This window comes from Homo sapiens, chromosome 20 (assembly GCF_000001405.40).
Source record: "Homo sapiens chromosome 20, GRCh38.p14 Primary Assembly".
NCBI classification, from domain to species: Eukaryota; Metazoa; Chordata; class Mammalia; order Primates; family Hominidae; genus Homo; species Homo sapiens.
Genome location: NC_000020.11, coordinates 50,318,974 through 50,335,920, shown reverse-complemented (window position 1 = coordinate 50,335,920; position 16,947 = coordinate 50,318,974). Strand labels below are relative to the sequence as shown.

General features: G+C 47.8%; 1 long non-coding RNA gene across 1 annotated transcript in view, besides 3 other annotated features; it reads left to right on the top strand.

Moving 5' to 3' along the window:
- Nucleotides 13,242-13,826: an enhancer, noted in NCBI's record as "H3K27ac-H3K4me1 hESC enhancer chr20:48938632-48939216 (GRCh37/hg19 assembly coordinates)". NCBI's record gives its function as "activates a minimal SCP1, AML or CMV promoter by ChIP-STARR-seq in naive H9 embryonic stem cells {active_cell/tissue: H9 hESC(naive)}" and the evidence as "EXISTENCE:reporter gene assay evidence [ECO:0000049][PMID:30033119]".
- Nucleotides 13,827-14,412: an enhancer, noted in NCBI's record as "H3K27ac-H3K4me1 hESC enhancer chr20:48938046-48938631 (GRCh37/hg19 assembly coordinates)". NCBI's record gives its function as "activates a minimal SCP1, AML or CMV promoter by ChIP-STARR-seq in naive H9 embryonic stem cells {active_cell/tissue: H9 hESC(naive)}" and the evidence as "EXISTENCE:reporter gene assay evidence [ECO:0000049][PMID:30033119]".
- Nucleotides 14,413-14,997: an enhancer, noted in NCBI's record as "H3K27ac-H3K4me1 hESC enhancer chr20:48937461-48938045 (GRCh37/hg19 assembly coordinates)". NCBI's record gives its function as "activates a minimal SCP1, AML or CMV promoter by ChIP-STARR-seq in primed H9 embryonic stem cells {active_cell/tissue: H9 hESC(primed)}" and the evidence as "EXISTENCE:reporter gene assay evidence [ECO:0000049][PMID:30033119]".
- LINC01271 (long intergenic non-protein coding RNA 1271) overlaps nt 14,579-16,947 on the top strand; it is a 10,632-nt gene continuing 8,263 nt past the window's right edge. Inside the window, exon 1 of the long non-coding RNA NR_109950.1 lies at nt 14,579-14,846. This is a non-coding gene — a long non-coding RNA (long intergenic non-protein coding RNA 1271). The remainder of the gene's footprint in view (nt 14,847-16,947) is intronic.

Below are 16,947 nucleotides of genomic sequence, written 5' to 3'. Positions count from 1 at the left end.
ATTTATTTAAAGAGAGAATAATATTTTCCACGGAGGTAGGGTGGCCGAGCGGTCTAAGGCACTGTATTAAGACTCCAGTCTCTTCAGAGGCATGGGTTTGAATCCCACTGCTGCCAACTTACTGGCCAGGTGTGGTGGCTCACGTCTGTAATCCCAGCACTTTGGAAGGCCAGGGTGGGTGGATCACTTGAGGTCAGGAGTTTGAGACTAGCCTGGCCAACATGGCGAAACTTCGTCTCTACTAAAAACACAAAAATTAACTGGTGGTGCACCTCTGTAATCCCAGCTACTGAGGAGCCTGAGGCAGGGGGAAGTGCTTAAACCAGGAGGCTGAGGTTGCAGTGAGCTGAGATGGTACTATCTGCATGCCAGCCTGGGAGTCAGAGCAAGATTCTGTCTCAAAAAATAAATAAATAAAGTAAAATAAAATAAAAATAAAAAGAGAATACTGAGACAGAGATGACCAAGGATCCACCAAAGACTCATACTCCTCCTCCTAAGTGTTGTAGGTAAGCAGTCACCCACCCAGGAGACTACATTTCCCAACTGCCTTTGCATCTAGGTGGAACCATGTGATAAATTCTATCCAGTGAAATGTGAGGGGAACTGATGTGTACGTCATTCTCGGCTGAGCTGGTTGAGCATGGGTTTCTCCTCTATCACCTCTTCTGGCAGCTGGCTGGATGTTGATCCTCAGGGAGACCTTGGAAGCTACCTGTTGCAGATGACTGAGCCCCCATCTGTCAGATTCCTGAGTGACTGACTGCATGAAGCAGAGCTCCTCCTCCTCATTGACCATCCTAACAATAAGAAATGTCTGCATTTACAAATGAAATGTTGTAATACTATGAAATTTTAAGAATTGAAATAAAAAATACAACTTATAAAATGTCCATCCATGTACAACTTAAAACCTCTTCATATACCCCTGGCATATTTATGGTCTGGGAAATATACATATGTGTGTGTGTGTGTGTGTGTGTGTGTATATATATATATATACACACACACACACACATATACATATTTTGTTTGTTTGTTTGTTTTTTGAGACAAGGTCTTGCTCTGTTGCCCAGGCTGGAGTGTAGTGACATGATCTCGGTTCACTGAAACTTTTGCCTCCCAGGTTCAAATGATTCCTGTGCCTCAGCCTCCCAAGTAGCTAGGATTACAGGCATGCGCCAACACGCCTGGCTAAGTTTTGCATTTTTAGTAGAGACAGGGTTTCCCCATGTTGGCCAGGCTTCTCTCAAACTCCTGGCCTCAAATGATCCTCCCACCTCGGCCTCCCAAAGTGCTGGGATAACAGGCGTGAGCCATGGCGACTGGCAGGAAATACATATTCTAAATCCTATGAGAGATATTAATCCACACTCTTCCTCCTACAGCTAGAAAAACAGAGGCTCAGAGAGGGAAGGGGTTTGCCCAAGGTCACACAGTTAATCCAGGACTGAGCCCAAGTAATTCCACTCATTAAATATAACTGATTTCCATGAACTTTTGATTCCTTCTTTTAAAAAAGGATGGGCAAGTCTGAGCGTGTGTCATCCAAGACTCCAAGTGGACAATTATAAAAACAAATCATAATTAATAATTCCTTATGAAACAAGTCAGAGAACTTCCAGGGTTGGGTGGCGCCAGTTTTGGGGAGAAGTAATTTTAAGACTTCCCGCCTTTCACAGGGTTGAGGGAGCAATTTAAAATAAGCTCTAATAAACACGGCTCATACAGCTGTGACCTTTAGAATGAAGGTCTCGCCTTCAAAAGCCGATCAGCCTTCATGATGTGGGGTTTGCCTGTGCGCTGAGGTTTAAAAAAAAAAAAAAAAAAAGACCATGAGGAATTTATGGGAAACAACAACTCCTTGCGGTTGCTGAACCAAGTGAGTCAAAGGGCGTCAGAGAGAGCAATTTTGGAGCACACAGGAGGGAGGTGCCAAGGACTCCTTTGCCAGACTTGCAGCCCCGGGTACTGAGGACAAGCCTGCTCTGCTACTGAATAGCTGTGAGTCCTTGGTCACCGACTTCACCACTCTGTGCCTCAGTTTCCCCATCTATGAAGTAGGGATTATAAAAGAACTCTCCCCACAAGGGTAGGTAATGTGTGCAAAGCTCTGAGCACAGTGCCTGGCATATAGTTGGTTTTCCATTTACCCTTGTAACATTATTACAGGATGAATTCCCCTCTGAGGACAAAGAATTGAGATAGCTGTTCTCCCGTGTTCTGCAGTTCTCAGCCCAGACTTCGCATTTTAAAAATACTGGATCTCGCCCCAGAGATTCCACTGCAGTGGCTTTGGGGGTAGGCATGGGCATAGGAATCTTTAAGGGTTACCAGGCAAATCTAGTGGGCAGCTGAGTCTGACAGCCCCTTCCTAAGGACGGCACAGTCTCATTGTGGTTCTCAGCCATTTACATCGTATTGTAATAAAACATTGCTCCACCATGTTCCCTTTTTTCTATGTTTGTTTTTAAGCTCTAACCATGTGGCTGCCCATATGTCCAGTTCATTTCTTTTAATTTCTAATTTCTGCTTCCTCCACATTTGTCTCCCAGCATGGACTCCAGGCTGCCTGCCCTCTGGCCCTCTCCCCGTAGGACTTCATGACAAACTCACTCCCTGCATGCCCTTGTCCGGTTGAGAATTTGGGAATTTCTTTGAGACTTCATATTATTATGAAAGGTGAAGCCAGTGATCCCAGTAACGGAATCTGAATCTCAGGGGGATGGGGCTCCAGCCCCCAAAGTTTTTTAAATGCTATCCTAGTGATTCTGAAGAGGATTTAGAATCGGGACCCATTAGCTGAACCACAACATCCATCATGGAAATACCAGGAAAGTTCAGGGGAAAGAGGAAAAGTCAATGAGCTGAAATTGCCATTCCAATCCCTTTATCTGGACGTTCACTGAGGGCCCAATAACAACCAGGCCCTGGGGACAGATAGGAGACCACAGTTTGTTCAGAGGGGCCAGGAGAGCAGAACTCAAGACTGCGTGACATGCATGTTCTTAACGCCCAAGATGTAAAACCTTTGACCTTAAGTTGTTCACTCCCCTGTGGGACAGGCAATTACAATCCACTGTGATTCATGCAGATATTAGAAACTCATGAAGTGATTGACTGATTTAGGAGGGTCAGGGAAGGCTTCCCCGAGGGGGTGACATCTGAGATGGGCTTTGAAGAGTAGGTAGGAGTCAGGTTGCAAAAGGTCAGGAACCAGGAAACATTTGTAGCAGATGCTGTTGCTGCCCGGCCCGCGTCCCCTAGACAGATGCCCACTCTCGCTCACTGCAGATGTCTGCTTAAGTGCTTTCATTTGGCCATGGGTGCACGCTCAGCTAGAAGTTCCAGAGAGTTGGAACTAGCCCCTGGAATTAGCCCGCAGCTCACGACTGGGGGAAGTCGGAAGATACATGATCTCTTCCCTTGCAACTGGGTTGGAATGACTGAAGCGCATGCTCTTCGCTGTCTCCCAGAGTTCCCTGGTGGGTCTGAGGTCTAGTTGCCCACAGCGGTGATTGGTTTAATAACATTTATTTTATTTTCTTTCTTCCCTATTTTGATTACCCAACCTGCTATGGGTGCTTCCTGAGATCACCACCCAAAATATACTCCTTGCACTCAAATTCGTGTCTGAGGGCCTGTTTCTGGGAGAACTCAGTGGAGGAGACTGCATGTGCAGAGGTCCCGAGGCCAGAAGCCACACAGCATGTGCAGGGAGGTGACCAGCAGCTTGTGCACAGAGTGGAATTTGGAGGAAAGGCTGAAGAGGCCAGAGACACAGGTCAGGAGCAGCCAAGCGGGCCTCCACCACCGCACAGAGGTCCTGGGCTTCTTCCCACATTCTCTGGTTGGAGTAGGCAGGGCAATGAGCTGGTTATGCAGATACCTTGAGGATGTTTGGGTAGGGCTGGCAGGCTGGAGAGTGCCAAATTCTCCAGTCATTGCTTCAGTGAACTACCTGGCCTTTGAGTTTATTTGAACAAGATTCAATTCTGCCCTGGACAAAGACAGAAGATTGGCAAGTGGCCACTGGTTTTGAGTGGTTAGTGACAGCCCAGCAGAGTAATGGTTGACCATTCAGTTTGGCTTCCAAGGGAGGGTCCCACTCCAGAGAAAAGGGCCCCCCCACCTCATCCCCCATCCTGCAGCCTTGATTCTTAGACCTCCCACCCAATGGGTCAGCAGCGCCTGCCCAAGATTCTGCTTTCTCTGACTCTCTCTCCCGTGCAGTGCCCAGCCTTGGGGGAAAGCGGACACCTGGAACTCCAGACAGGGTTCAGGCGGAGACACAGCGATCCCATCACACTCTAGGGCTCTGGAGGAAATGATGGTGCCAGTCAGGGTCTTAGTTTGCTGCTCTGTCTAATGGGCCTGTGGGTCCCGGGTGTGGCCACAGGACTGTGAGAGAATTTGAGAATTTCTTTGAGACTTCATATTATTATGGAAGTTGAACCCAGTGATCCCAGTAACCCAGAGAATCCTGCAATATCTAAATTAGGGCCCAGCCAAGCCTCTCATTTTACAGAGGAGAGAAACTAAGACCCGGAGAGGGAAAGAGGCTTACCTGAGTTCATCCAGCAAGGCAGTGTTAGGGAAGAACTGTGGCTCTTATGCCAAGTGTGACGGGGTGACATGGGACATGAGAAATTTTTATCTGAGCCACACTGTCCAGGTCCATACCTTGCCTTCCATACTCTAGCCGGGTGATCCTGGGGGCGTGTTACTTAGTCTCTTTGAGCCTCAGTTTTCCCCTCTGTGCAATGGTGACCGTGACACCCCCTCACAGGACCACCGTGAGCACTTAGTAGCGGCCCCCTTTCTTACCCCTCACCCTGCAGAACAACTCTGGAGGACAAAAAGAAACACCGTCCCCAGCTGTCCACAGAGAGCCCAGAGCCAGCTTCATCTATTAGCTTCCCCTCCTTGCTTCAAAAAATGAATCTACTCTGGGAGACTTGGGGGTCCACCCAGATAGGGATCATCTCTGTGCCTGGCCATGGTGCTCCCCACCATGCCTCCATCATGCCCCTCCCCTGTGGACCGCAGAAGCCTCCGGGGCTCGCTTGACAGGTTACGCCTCAAAGTTCAGTTCAGTTGCAGCAAAGTTAAGTTGCTGACTTGCCAGCAACTTCCCACCCTGGCTGGAGCAGGGCCAGGCAGGGAGGAAGAACAAAGGCTTTTGTCTGCCCAGCCTCAGAGGAGGGTGAGAAATAGAAATCCTGCCCAATCATGTGGAAGCCCCCAGAGCTCCCTGCTCGGGCTTGGGGCCAGGGGAGGCAAGTCAGGGCAGCCACGTGAGAGACCCACAGCACAGGGATGGGAAGCGACGCTGGGAGAAATGTCCATCCGCCCACCATCTATCCACCCACCCATCTACCCATCCACTCACCCACCCATCCGCCCATCATTCCTTCCATCCGTCAACCCTTTCATCCACCCATTAGTATACCCTTCTATCCATCTATCCATCCATCCCTTCCCTCTCTCACTCCCTTGATCCATTCATCCACCCACCCATCTACCCATCCATTCATCCATCTATCCACTCCTCATTCCCTCCATCCATCCACCCACCCATCTATCCACCCACCCGTCCATCCAAATATCCATCCAACCATCTATCCGTCCATTCAGCTGTCCATCCATCCATCCATCCATCCATCCATCCATCCATCCATCCACTCATCTATCCACCCACCCCTCCATCCAAACATCCATCCAACCATCTATCCATCCATCCATCCATCCATCCATCCATCCATTCATTCATCCATCCATCTATCCATCCACTCATTAATCTACCCATCCATTCATCCATCTATCCCACCCTTCCTCCCTCATATCATACATCCATTTCTCCACCCATTTATTCATCCATCCATTCATCCACCCATCTATCCATCCCACAAGCACATATTGAGCATCATGGAGGCCAGGCCCTGGGTTGGGCACTGGGGATACAGCTGTGAACAAAGTCTCTGCTCTCATGGTTCTAATATTCTAGGCAGGTAGTGGACAAAAAGAAACTATATAAATACGTAATATAATGACAGAAGGTGATAAATGCTAGGAATAAAAATAAACCTAGGTAGGAAAGCAACACGCAGAGCCACTATAGATGGAGTGGTCAATGAAGACAAGAAATGATAGGCTAGATCTGGCAGGGGAATAAGTACAAGGGCCCTGAGGCAGGATTGAGCTCAGCATGTTGGAGCGACAGCCTAGAGACCAGTGAGGTCATCATGAATGGAAGGAAGGGGAGGGGAGCAGGGGGTAAAGCTGGAGGGGCTCTGGGAGCAGGAGACCCAGCTCTGTATAGTCAGAGGATGGTTCCTCTCCTTCTTTGGACCTTGGTCTTCTTATCTGTATAATGAAGTCCTGGGTGAGATCATCCTTTCCTATCTGAGGCTCTGGCATTTAAAAAAGATGGTCTTGCTCTTTCCTGGGGATCTATAGGAGCAGGGTCTAGACTGTAAAGGTAAAGAATGCAGGCTCTGGGCAGGCGCAGTAGCTCATGCCTATAATCCTAGCACTTTGGGAGGCTGAGGCAGGCAGATCTCTTGAGCTCAGGAGTTTGAGACCAGCCTGGGCAACATGGAGAAACACCCTCTCCACAAAAAAAAAAAAAAAAAAAAAAAGCAAAAATTAGCCTGGTTAGGTGGTATGTATCTGTAATCCCAGCTACTCAGGAGGCTGAGGTGGGAGGATGGCTTGAGCCCAGGAGGTAGAGATTGCAGTGAGCTGAGATCATGTCACTGCACTCCAGCCTGGGCAACAGAGCCAGACCCTGTCTCAAAAAAAAAAAAAAATACAGATTCTGAAGTCAAGGCATTTGATCTCTCTGAGTCTCAGTGTTCCCAACTGCAAAATGGGAATAATAATACCCCTTCATGGAGTTCTTAGCAGGATTTGATGGGATGGTGCCGGTAAAGCGTCTATCCCTGACACCTTCCTCCCTGGCCACTGTTATATAATTAGGTAAAACAGCAGTGGTAGCTTCTATTGATCCTCAACTCAGAGGCAAAGTGTACAGAGCCCTCAGATGCCCCTCAGTGGGGATACTGGCCTTGGCTGGCAGGGCAAGGCTGGCACAAGCCTGGGGGCTGGGTCTCCAATGTTTGGCTCTGATCATAAGGGGATTTCTGTGGGGGAGTGCAGATAGAGCCCTTTGAGCAGCTCAGAGGCCTCCTTCCTGTACAGGCAGCTCTGCACCAGCACACAGCTGGATTCTCGTTCAGTTATACCACGTCCAGTGCTGTGGCCTTGAGTTGTGTGTATCCCTCTCTGAGCCTCGGTTTCCAAGTCAGAAGCTTGCTTGGGTTCTCATCCCAGCTCATCTGGTCCATTCCTGCCTCAGGACCTGATATGATTTGGCTGTGTCCCCATCCATATCTCATCTTGATTTGTAGCTCCCATAATCCCCATGTGTAGTGGGAGGGATTCCGTGGGAGGTAATTGAATCATGGGGTTGGGTCTTTCCCATTCGGTTCTCATGATAGTGAATAAGTCTCAAGAGAGCTGATGGTTTTATAAAGGGCAGTTCCCCTGCAATGATCTCTTGCCTGCCACCATGTAAGACGTGCCTTTTCTCCTCCTTCACCTTCTGCCATGATTGTGAGGCCTCCCCAGACCTATAAGTGGAACTGTAAGTCCATTAAAGTTCTTTTTCTTTGTAAATTACCAAATCTTGGGTATGTCTTTATTAGCAGTGTGAGAATGGACTAATACAGGACCTTTGCATGTACCGAGTTGGTCCCCACTCTTCCAGCTCCTTGTCCTCTTTCAGTGTGCTCTTCCAGCTCCTTCTCCTCTTTCAGGGCTCAGCTCAAATATCACTGCAGGGAGGCCTTCCCTGACTTCCCACACCAACATAACCCTGTCCCCATTCATACTGTGCCCCTGCACATGGCTTGCTTGCTTTCAGAATACTCCTGAACACTTTCTGAAATCATCTGCTATTTCCCTGTTTGCTTCTTTATTGCCTGTCTTCTCGACTATGATGTCAGCTCCACCAAGATAGAGACTGGATCTGTCTTATCCAGTGTCTCCAACAACTATTGCAAAGTAGGTGCTCAGTAAATATTTGCTGAATGAATAATGGGGACTTAACGACTCCTTTGGTTTTCTTTTAAAAGTTTTGCCACTTAAATATTAATTTTAATTATACAATTAACCCATTATTATATTCTTAAAAATATTTTTTACAGTTACAGCTTGTAGTTAAAATCCCCTTTGATGTCCATCCTGGACATTCCCCAAGGGGGTCATGTAATGAGTTTAGCATCCTTCCATATTTACTTCTGTGCACTTACAATGAAATGTCTACCACTGTTGTTGGTAGTGTGTGCATGTGTGTGAGTGTGCATGTATGTTCACAGTAGATTAGATAGAGCTAAGAGTTGAGAGCAACATAAACAGCTCTGGGTAATTGTGGTAGTTAAATTTTACGTGTCAACTTGACCAGGTTACAGTGTCCAGTTGTTTGGTCAAACATGAGTCTAGATGTTGCTATAAAGATATTCTGTGCTGGGCTGGTGGCTTACACCTGTAATCCCAGCACTTTGAGAGGCCAAGGCGGGCGGATCATGAGGTCAGGAGTTCGAGACCAACCTGGCCAACATAGTGAAACCCCATCTCTACTAAAAATACAAAAAAAAAATTTGCCAGGCATGGTGGCAGGCACCTGTAGTCCCAGCTACTTGGGAGGCTGAGGCAGGAGAATCACTTGAACCTGAGGGGCGGAGGTTGCAGTGAGCTGAGATTGCACCACTGCATTCCAACCTGGGCAACCCAGCAAGACTCTGTCTCAAAAAAAAAAAAAAAAAAAAAAAAGATATTCTGAGCCACGCATGGTGGCTCACACCTGTAATCTCAACACTTTGGGAGGTCAAGGAAGGCAGATCACTTGAGTCAGGAAGTCGAGACCAGCCTGGCCAACATGGCGAAACCCCATCTCTACTAAAAACACCAAAAAATTAGCCCGGCATGGTGGGGGACGCCTGTAATCCCAGCTACTCGGGAGGCTGAGGCATGAGAATCACTTGAACCCGGGAAGTGGGGGTTACAGGGAGCTGAGATTGCACCACTGCATTCCAACCTGGGCAACAGAGTGAGACTCCATCTCAAAAAAATAAATAAATAAATACAAATAAAAATAAAAGATATTTTGTAGATGGGCTCGATAATGTGTGTGGGCCTCATTCAATCAGTTCAAGGCCTTGAGAGCAAAATCCAAGTTTTTGGTAGAAGGAATTCTGCCTTAAGTGTGTATCATAGAAGTCTTGCCTGAGTCCCCAGTCTGCCGGCTTGCCCTACAAATTTCACATTTGCCAGCTTCTACAATTGCATGAGTCAATCCCTTTAAAAATTGAATTAAATATAAATAGATATACACACACGCATCCTGTTAGGTTTTGTTTCTCTGGAAAGCCCTGGCTGATACAGTAATTTAAACAGAGAAGCAGTCTATTCAAAGTACTTTATGAGGGGAAGAACAATCAATCCAATAAACAAAAATGGCCAAGACTCGAGTAGGCATTTCACAAAAGGGGATACCCAAAGGATCAATAAACACACAGAGGTGATCAACATCCTTGCTCAGCAGGGAAATGCAAATGAAAACTTTGATGAGATAACCACTGTACACCCACTAGAATGGCTAAAATGAAAAATATGGAAAATACCAAGAGTGGATGAAAATACGGAGCATTTAGAAAAAACCCTCATACATGACTGGTAGAAATGCAAAATGGTGCAAGCACTTCAGAAGACACTGGCAACTTAATAAGGTGAAACATACACTTGCCATAAGACCCAATGAGAGGACTACACTCAATAGTAGTGCAGACAGATTTTCACCAAGAAGGACACATATAAATATTCATAGCAGCCCTATTCATAAATCTCCCCTAACTAGAAAGTACCCAAATGTCCATCAGTAGAAGAATGAATGAAAGAACAGAGACACACTCAGACACTGCTCCAACTATGGAATTTTGCCTAACAATGAGAATGAAAGATCTGCAACCACACTCAACAGCATGGGTGAATCTCAAAGACTTGAACATTAAGGGAAAGAGGCCAGACACAAACAAGCACACATCATTTGATTCCATTTATATAAAGCACTAGAAATAGACACAACTCGCCTTGGTTAGCCTCGGGGAAGTCGTGACTGGAAGAGGGCATTAAGGGAAGCTTAAGGGAACTGGAATATTCTGTTTCTTGATGAAGGGCTGGTTACACAAGTGTACTCACTTATGAAGGCTCATGAAGTTATCGCTTACGACCTATGCATTTTTCTCTATGTGTGCTATACTTCAGTGAAAGTTCAAAATAAAATAAGGGATTTGAGGAGCCTGGGAGGATTGCAGAACCAGGCTTAAGGTCAGCAGGGACAGTACCCCAAATCACACACAACACTGGATCGGTGGGCCCTCTCTGCTGCCCCTGAACTATCCCTGCTTCCAGGTCTCAGTGAGCACGTCTGATCGGTGGCACCTGGGTCACGTGACCACCCCCTAGCTGCAAGGGATGCTTGGAAGAGTGAGCACCTAGCAGGTTCAACATCAGTGATGGAGGTGTGCAGACTGTGCTTCAAAAGATGGGGAGCCTCAGACCACTGCAGGGTGTTTAACCCTTCCTCAACTGATGGATATTTAGGTTGCTCCCAGTGACCATCTTGACCATACTCCCTGTGCCTGTGTGTGGATGTTTCACTAAGGGAGATGCCACATCAAGGAACTGCAGTGTTTCCCCCAAAAATGTGAACTTACAGTTTTACTGGCTACTGTGAAAATTGTCTTCCGGAGAGGCTGTTTCAATTTACACTGCCACCGGCAGTATATCGGTGTGACCGTTTCCCAGTCTCCTTAACACTTTACATCACCAATCTCATTCATGTCAACCTGAGGCATGGGAAATGTTCTCGCATTGTTGTTTTAATTTGCATTTGCCTGATTACCAGCATGGTTGAACATCTTTCATGTTTATTTGCCATCTGTATTTTATGTAAATTGCCTATTCACATCCACTACCCATTATTCTAGTGGGTTTGTGGTTTTTTTCTTATTGTTCTGCAGGAACTCTTTATATATTGTGGAAATAAATTCATTGTCTACATTTATGTTTCAAATATTTTTACCTAGGTTACCATTTGTCTTTTAACTCTGGAGTGGCCACATACTGTTTTACCCAGGCTCACAACTTTTCTGAGGTTGGGAAATGAACACTGATGGGAAGAAGGTGGGGATAACGGGGAAAAGGGATCTTTCTGACACTACTCCGTTCTCTTCCCACTAGCCCTGAGTACATTTTGTAATACCCCTCCCATATCATCCTTTCATTTCCTTGTTCTTGTCACCAATAGAAAACAGTAATAGAACCCCAGCCACAGAACTCCTCACTTTCACTTTTCAATTTTTTTTATCAAGCTTAAAGTTTACAGATTTGGAGTGAAGCAACCTCAGTGTCCCTGCTGGGGTGACGGCCAAGTTGAGTGCCCCTCACAGGTGTCATTAATTTACTGATATTGCAAATGAAGAAATCAGGTTAATTCAAGTAATTTGCAAATTCCTTCCAAAATTGCCAATAGTGGGCAAACTGCTAAACAGTGTATAGGGCATGTGGTGAGCAAATGGCCTGGAGGTGAAATGGCCTGGTTGAAATCATGCTTGAAAAGCTTTTATCTCATTCATAAAAGGGCAGAGAACATGGTTTGGTAAATACAAATACATGCGTACTGCAAAGTCAGGGGCTGGCAAGCTACAGCCTTTGAGCCCAACCTGACCCACCACCTGTTTTTGTAAATAAAGTTTTATTGGCACACTGTCACAGACATTCACTGACATACAGTCTGTGGCTGTTTTCCTGCACCACGGCAGAGTTAAGTAGTTGCAATAAAGAGGGTCTGGCCCACAAATCCTAAAACATTTATTATCTGGCTCTTTACAGAAACATTTTACCAACCTCAGCAGCAAGTAATAAAAAACACATAAGTTATAATTTTGTAGTATTTTTAGAGATATAAAGTACAAGAACAATTATTTTTTTAAAACTGTCTGGCAGATCATGTATGGCTGGATCTGAGTTAAATGCATAGAAAGTGCATTCCACTGAATAACATGATCAAGAGTAAGACTTTAGGCCCAGATAATTAATTTTTACAAATTCTCAGCAAGTTGCTTCATGTCTCCAACCTCAGTTTTCTCATCTGTAAAACAGGGATGATGTTTAGTTCTGACCTCATAGGGTACAGGTAAAGAAGGCTCTTAGAACAGTGCCGGGCACATAGTAAGTACCATGTAATTATTTGTTATTATTATCATTATTATTGCACAGAGACAGGTCTAGATCAGTGTCATGGCTGTGCTACTTCTCAGACATGCGAACCTGGACACACAGCTTCCTCTTCCCCAGCCTCAGTCTCCCTACCCATAAATTGGTGCCATAATGGTTGCCATCACCTGGAGTTGCTGTGAGGGCCCCTTGGCACAGCATCTGGCACACAGTAGGCACCCAACACAGATGAGCTGTTACTGCCAGCATTCCCATCACTCTGACTCAAAGCTCTGCACTGTCTGGAACTCAGTCTCACCCCTCCTCTGTAAGGCAGGCCATGACTCCGGACCCGCCGTGTACCAGCACTAACTGTTTTCTACCCAGTGATTGTTTATTTAACTGTCCTCCTAAAGTAACTCCTCAGCCATCAAAGGGCTGTTTACAAAGCCCACAATTAGCCTTCTTGGAACAACAAATAAACAGAAACCTAATTAGGCATGTTTCTCCTGGCTCAAGGCACGGCAACCCCAAGGCTTGGGCATCACAGCTGTCATTCAAATAGACATTTGTGGGCTGTATGGATGAATGGATGTGTAGATGGATGTGAGGATGAGTGGGTGGGTGGGCGGATGAATGGATGGATGGATGTGTGGGTGGATGAGTGGATGGATGAATGGGTGGGCGGACGGTTGGATGGATGGATTGGAGGTTGGAAGGAAGGAGAGGTGGATAGATGATATTTGAACTGATGGACAGATGGATGAATGGAAGGTTGAATAGATAGAAGGCAGGAGGAATAGAAGAATGGATGGGTGGATGAATAGAAGGACAGGTGGAGGGAAGTCTTGATGGGTGGAGGGATGGCTGAGAGTTGGATGGAAAGGATAGATGGAATAATGGAAGGACAGATGGAGAGATGTTTGGATGGCGGATGAATGTGTGGATGAGTAGGTAGGTGGAGGTATGGGTAAAGGAATGAAAAGATGGACTGGTGAGTTCAGGTTAGTGGAAGGCCAGAGGGAGAGGGTGATGTGAACTGAGGCTCCAGGCTTTTTCCTGCGTCTCCTTCCCACCCTGCCCTGTTCTTCACTGAGATGCTGTGTCACCACCCAGTAGAAGGGACTCTGACCGTGTGGCATCAGAACAATCCTGGGTTTGAATTCGCTCCTACCATGTTCTGCCTCTGTGGCCTTGAGCAAGTCCTGCCACCCTGAGCCTTAGTCTCCTCCTCTGTAAAACGGATGTTTGTACTGTCCCCACTTCACAGTGTGGCTGGCAGGGTGAATGGGTTAAGTGCCCACGCCATGGTCCCTGCCCTACCTGTGTGAATTCCTGTTTGGTGGCTGCCCAGAGCAGGGGCTGGCATCACTTGGGGCTGGGCAATGTTGGTAGACTGCCCAGACCCTCTGCTCTGAGCTCCACTCCAATGGAGGGAACAAGCACCAGCCTGTGCTGCGGCAGGGCCCTCCCTCTGGGAGGTTCTTCCCCTGGAGAGAGGGGGCTGGCCTCTGCCTGGGGAGACTTAAAATCCCACTGTGGGGACGGGCACTGGAACAGAGCCCAGGACCTGGCTCCCCTCCCTCCCAGCTCCCTGCGTTCCAGCCTCGGGGGCCTCCACTCGGTTCTCAGAGCTGGGGGTGAGAATGCGACTCAATGTCCAGCTGCCTAGATTCACATCCCTTCCTCCCACTGGCTGGCTGGTAGCCTTGGGCTGGATACTGACCACTCTGTGCCTTGGGAAATGAGAGTTCCTACCTCATAGGACTATTGTGAGGATTGAATGAGTTAAAATGTGAAGTGTTTAGCACAGTGCCTGGCACACAGTGAGCATGGCTAGCTGCTATTATTCTTGTATAACAGTTGTTTTCATTACTGTTGCTGGTATTATTATCATTATTTTACCTCTCCCATATCCTTTTCCCCTTCTGGCCAGAGGGCATTTGATGTTTCCTAGCAGGAGATGGCCCTCAAACTGGGCCTTGAAGGAACAGAAAGGCCCCCAGAGGCAGAAGAAGGCACCCCTCGGGAAGACTCCGCCTGGGGCAGCTCCCACAGCAGAAGGCCAAGAGGTTCTGGCCAGAGGGAGGCGTGGCTCCCAGCGCAGGGGCGGGATAGAGAGAGGTGAGTCAGTGTCTGGCCCAGCCAGGCCCTCACAGCCACAGCTCTGCTTCCCATCAAGGGGCGGAGCAGCTGCGGCTCCCCTCTGGCCAGGGCTGGGGGTCTGAGTCAGCTGGAGTCAGGTAAGCAGAGGAGGATGTGGGGCTTTCCCACCCGCAGCCTGGAAGCCCGTGTGTGCAGGGCAGGGCTGCCTCCCACGGCAGGGGCAGGCAGAGGCCTCTGCGCCAGGTACAGCCTAGGTACCGCCTACCCCCATGGCTGACCCTGGGCCCCAAATCCAGCGGGAGGCCTGGGAGCATCTTCTCCGCCTGAGTCACCGGGCTGGGCCCAGGACCCCAGCCAAGGGCTTTGCCTCTGGGAAGAAAAGAGCTTTGGAGTCCAGCAAAACCTGGGAAGCAGGGGGAAGCTTCCCTAGCAGGTGCTATTTGAGCAGAGGCCTGGAGGAGGTGAGGAAGTGAGCAGCGGGCCGTGTGGGGTAATGGGTGCTCCAGGAAACCAGAACGGCAGATGCGAGGTTCTGAGGTGGAGCCTGGAGTGTCGGAGCAACAACAAGGAGACTGTCGTAGGGATGAGGCCTTGGGGAGGAGGAACAGAGAGCAGAGAGGACCTGGGGCATGTCCCACAGTGGATGAGCCACGGGAAGGACTTTGGCTTTTCCTCTAAGCAAGGTGAGAGCTGTGGGAAGTTTCCAGGCAGAGAAGGGACGAGATCTGACTTAGATTCTCACGGGATCTCTCTGGCTGCATGTGGGGAATGGATTGGAGGTGGAGGATTCAGGACAGAAGCCAGGAAACCAGGGAGGAGGAGACCACAATAGTCCAGGTAAGCCATGCAGGGTCTGGACCAGGGTGGGGACCGTGGAGGTGAGAGAAGAGGTGGAATTCTGGGAGTTCCTCTGCACGTCAGCCAACCCGCCCTTCTTGGGTGCCTACTGTGTGTGAGTTCTGTACAGCAACATGATACAGAGATCACAAAGGCTGAGCCCTTGCCCACAGTGTAGGAGACAGGAGGAAAAGGAATGCAACTGTGATGTGATCAGTGTCAGACTGAAGTGTGAATGAAGGGCAGCTACATCTCCCCAGGTTCTGTCCTAAAACTTTCTATGTAGGAGCTCAACCTAGTGAGATAAGAGCTATCATAAGCCCCCATTTTCCAGATAAGGAAACTGAGGCCCTCTTAGTCAAACAATATGTCTAAGTTAAGAGACTCCTCCCACTAGTAAGTGGCAAGACTGGGATTCACAACCGGGTCTGAAGGGCTGCAGGACTGACCCCGCCTGACCACCTGTGTAATCAGGAAGGGCTTCCCGTAGAGGTGAGGCTTGAGCTGGGTTCCCAGGGATGCATAGGATTCCGTCAGTGAGCAGAGGGCCTTCCAGGCCTGAGCAAGGTATAAGCCAATGTGTGTTCAAGACACACAAGCCCCACGTGGAGTTTCTCCCTCCCCTTGGCATCACAGGGAGGACGAAAGGGAGCTGGAAAGCCTCACCTACAGTGTTAACTGATGGAATTTCACGCCGGGTCCCTGTACCTTGCAGCTACCTCTGGCCCCATCCATGGTCCCAGGCTCACGATGGGTGAGAATCATCCCCTTAGCCACTGTCTCCCACACGTCACTTAAAAGCCATCTTTAAAGCCATTCATACCTTTTCTTAAGTAAATTGATTTTTTGGTTTACTCCACTGGTTTTTTAAAAAAATAACTTACTGAGACGAAGTTCACATAGCATCATATTAAGCATTTTAAAGTGAACATTTCGGTGGCATTTTTGCATTGTGTTCTGCAACCATCACCTCTAGCTAATCACAAAACATTTTCATCACCCCAAAAGGAGACCCTGTGACCATAAAGCAGCCGCTCCCCATTCCCCTAACAACCACCATTCTTCACTGGTCTCAATGGATGTACCTATTTTGGAGATTTCCTGGAAAGGGAATCATACAATATGTGACCTTCTGGCCAGGCATGGTGGCCCACGCCTGTAGTCCCAGCACTTTGGGAGACTGAGGCGGAAGGATTTCTTCAGCCCAGGAGTTTGAGACCAGCCTGTGCAAAATAGGGAGACCCTGCCTCTACAAAAAATACAAAAATTAGCCAGGTGTGGTGGCACGCACCTGTAGTACCAGCTACTGGGGAGGCTGAGGTGAGAGAATCATTGAGCCTGGGAGGCAGATGTTGCAATGAGCCGAGATCACACCACTGCACTCCAGCCTGGGCAACAGAGCAAGAACCTGTCTCAAAAAAAAAAAAAAAAAAAAAAAAAGACCTCTGTGTCTGGCTTTTTTCACTTAGCATCATGTTTTGGAGGTTCATTCTCATTGTAATATGGATTAGAAAAAATTATTTTAAAAGGAAAATTTGTGTTACTATCAGAAGGAGGAAACAACTTTTCATTTCTGTAAAGAGAAAGTAACCTTAAAACAACAATCACAAAAGAACGTTACCAAATTCTTGCTCCATTCTCCTGCCTGCTGAAGGCCCTGAGCTTAAGGCCAGCTCTGCCTCATAAAGGGAGACGAGCAAACGTGGGAGAGGTATTCAAGTCCAG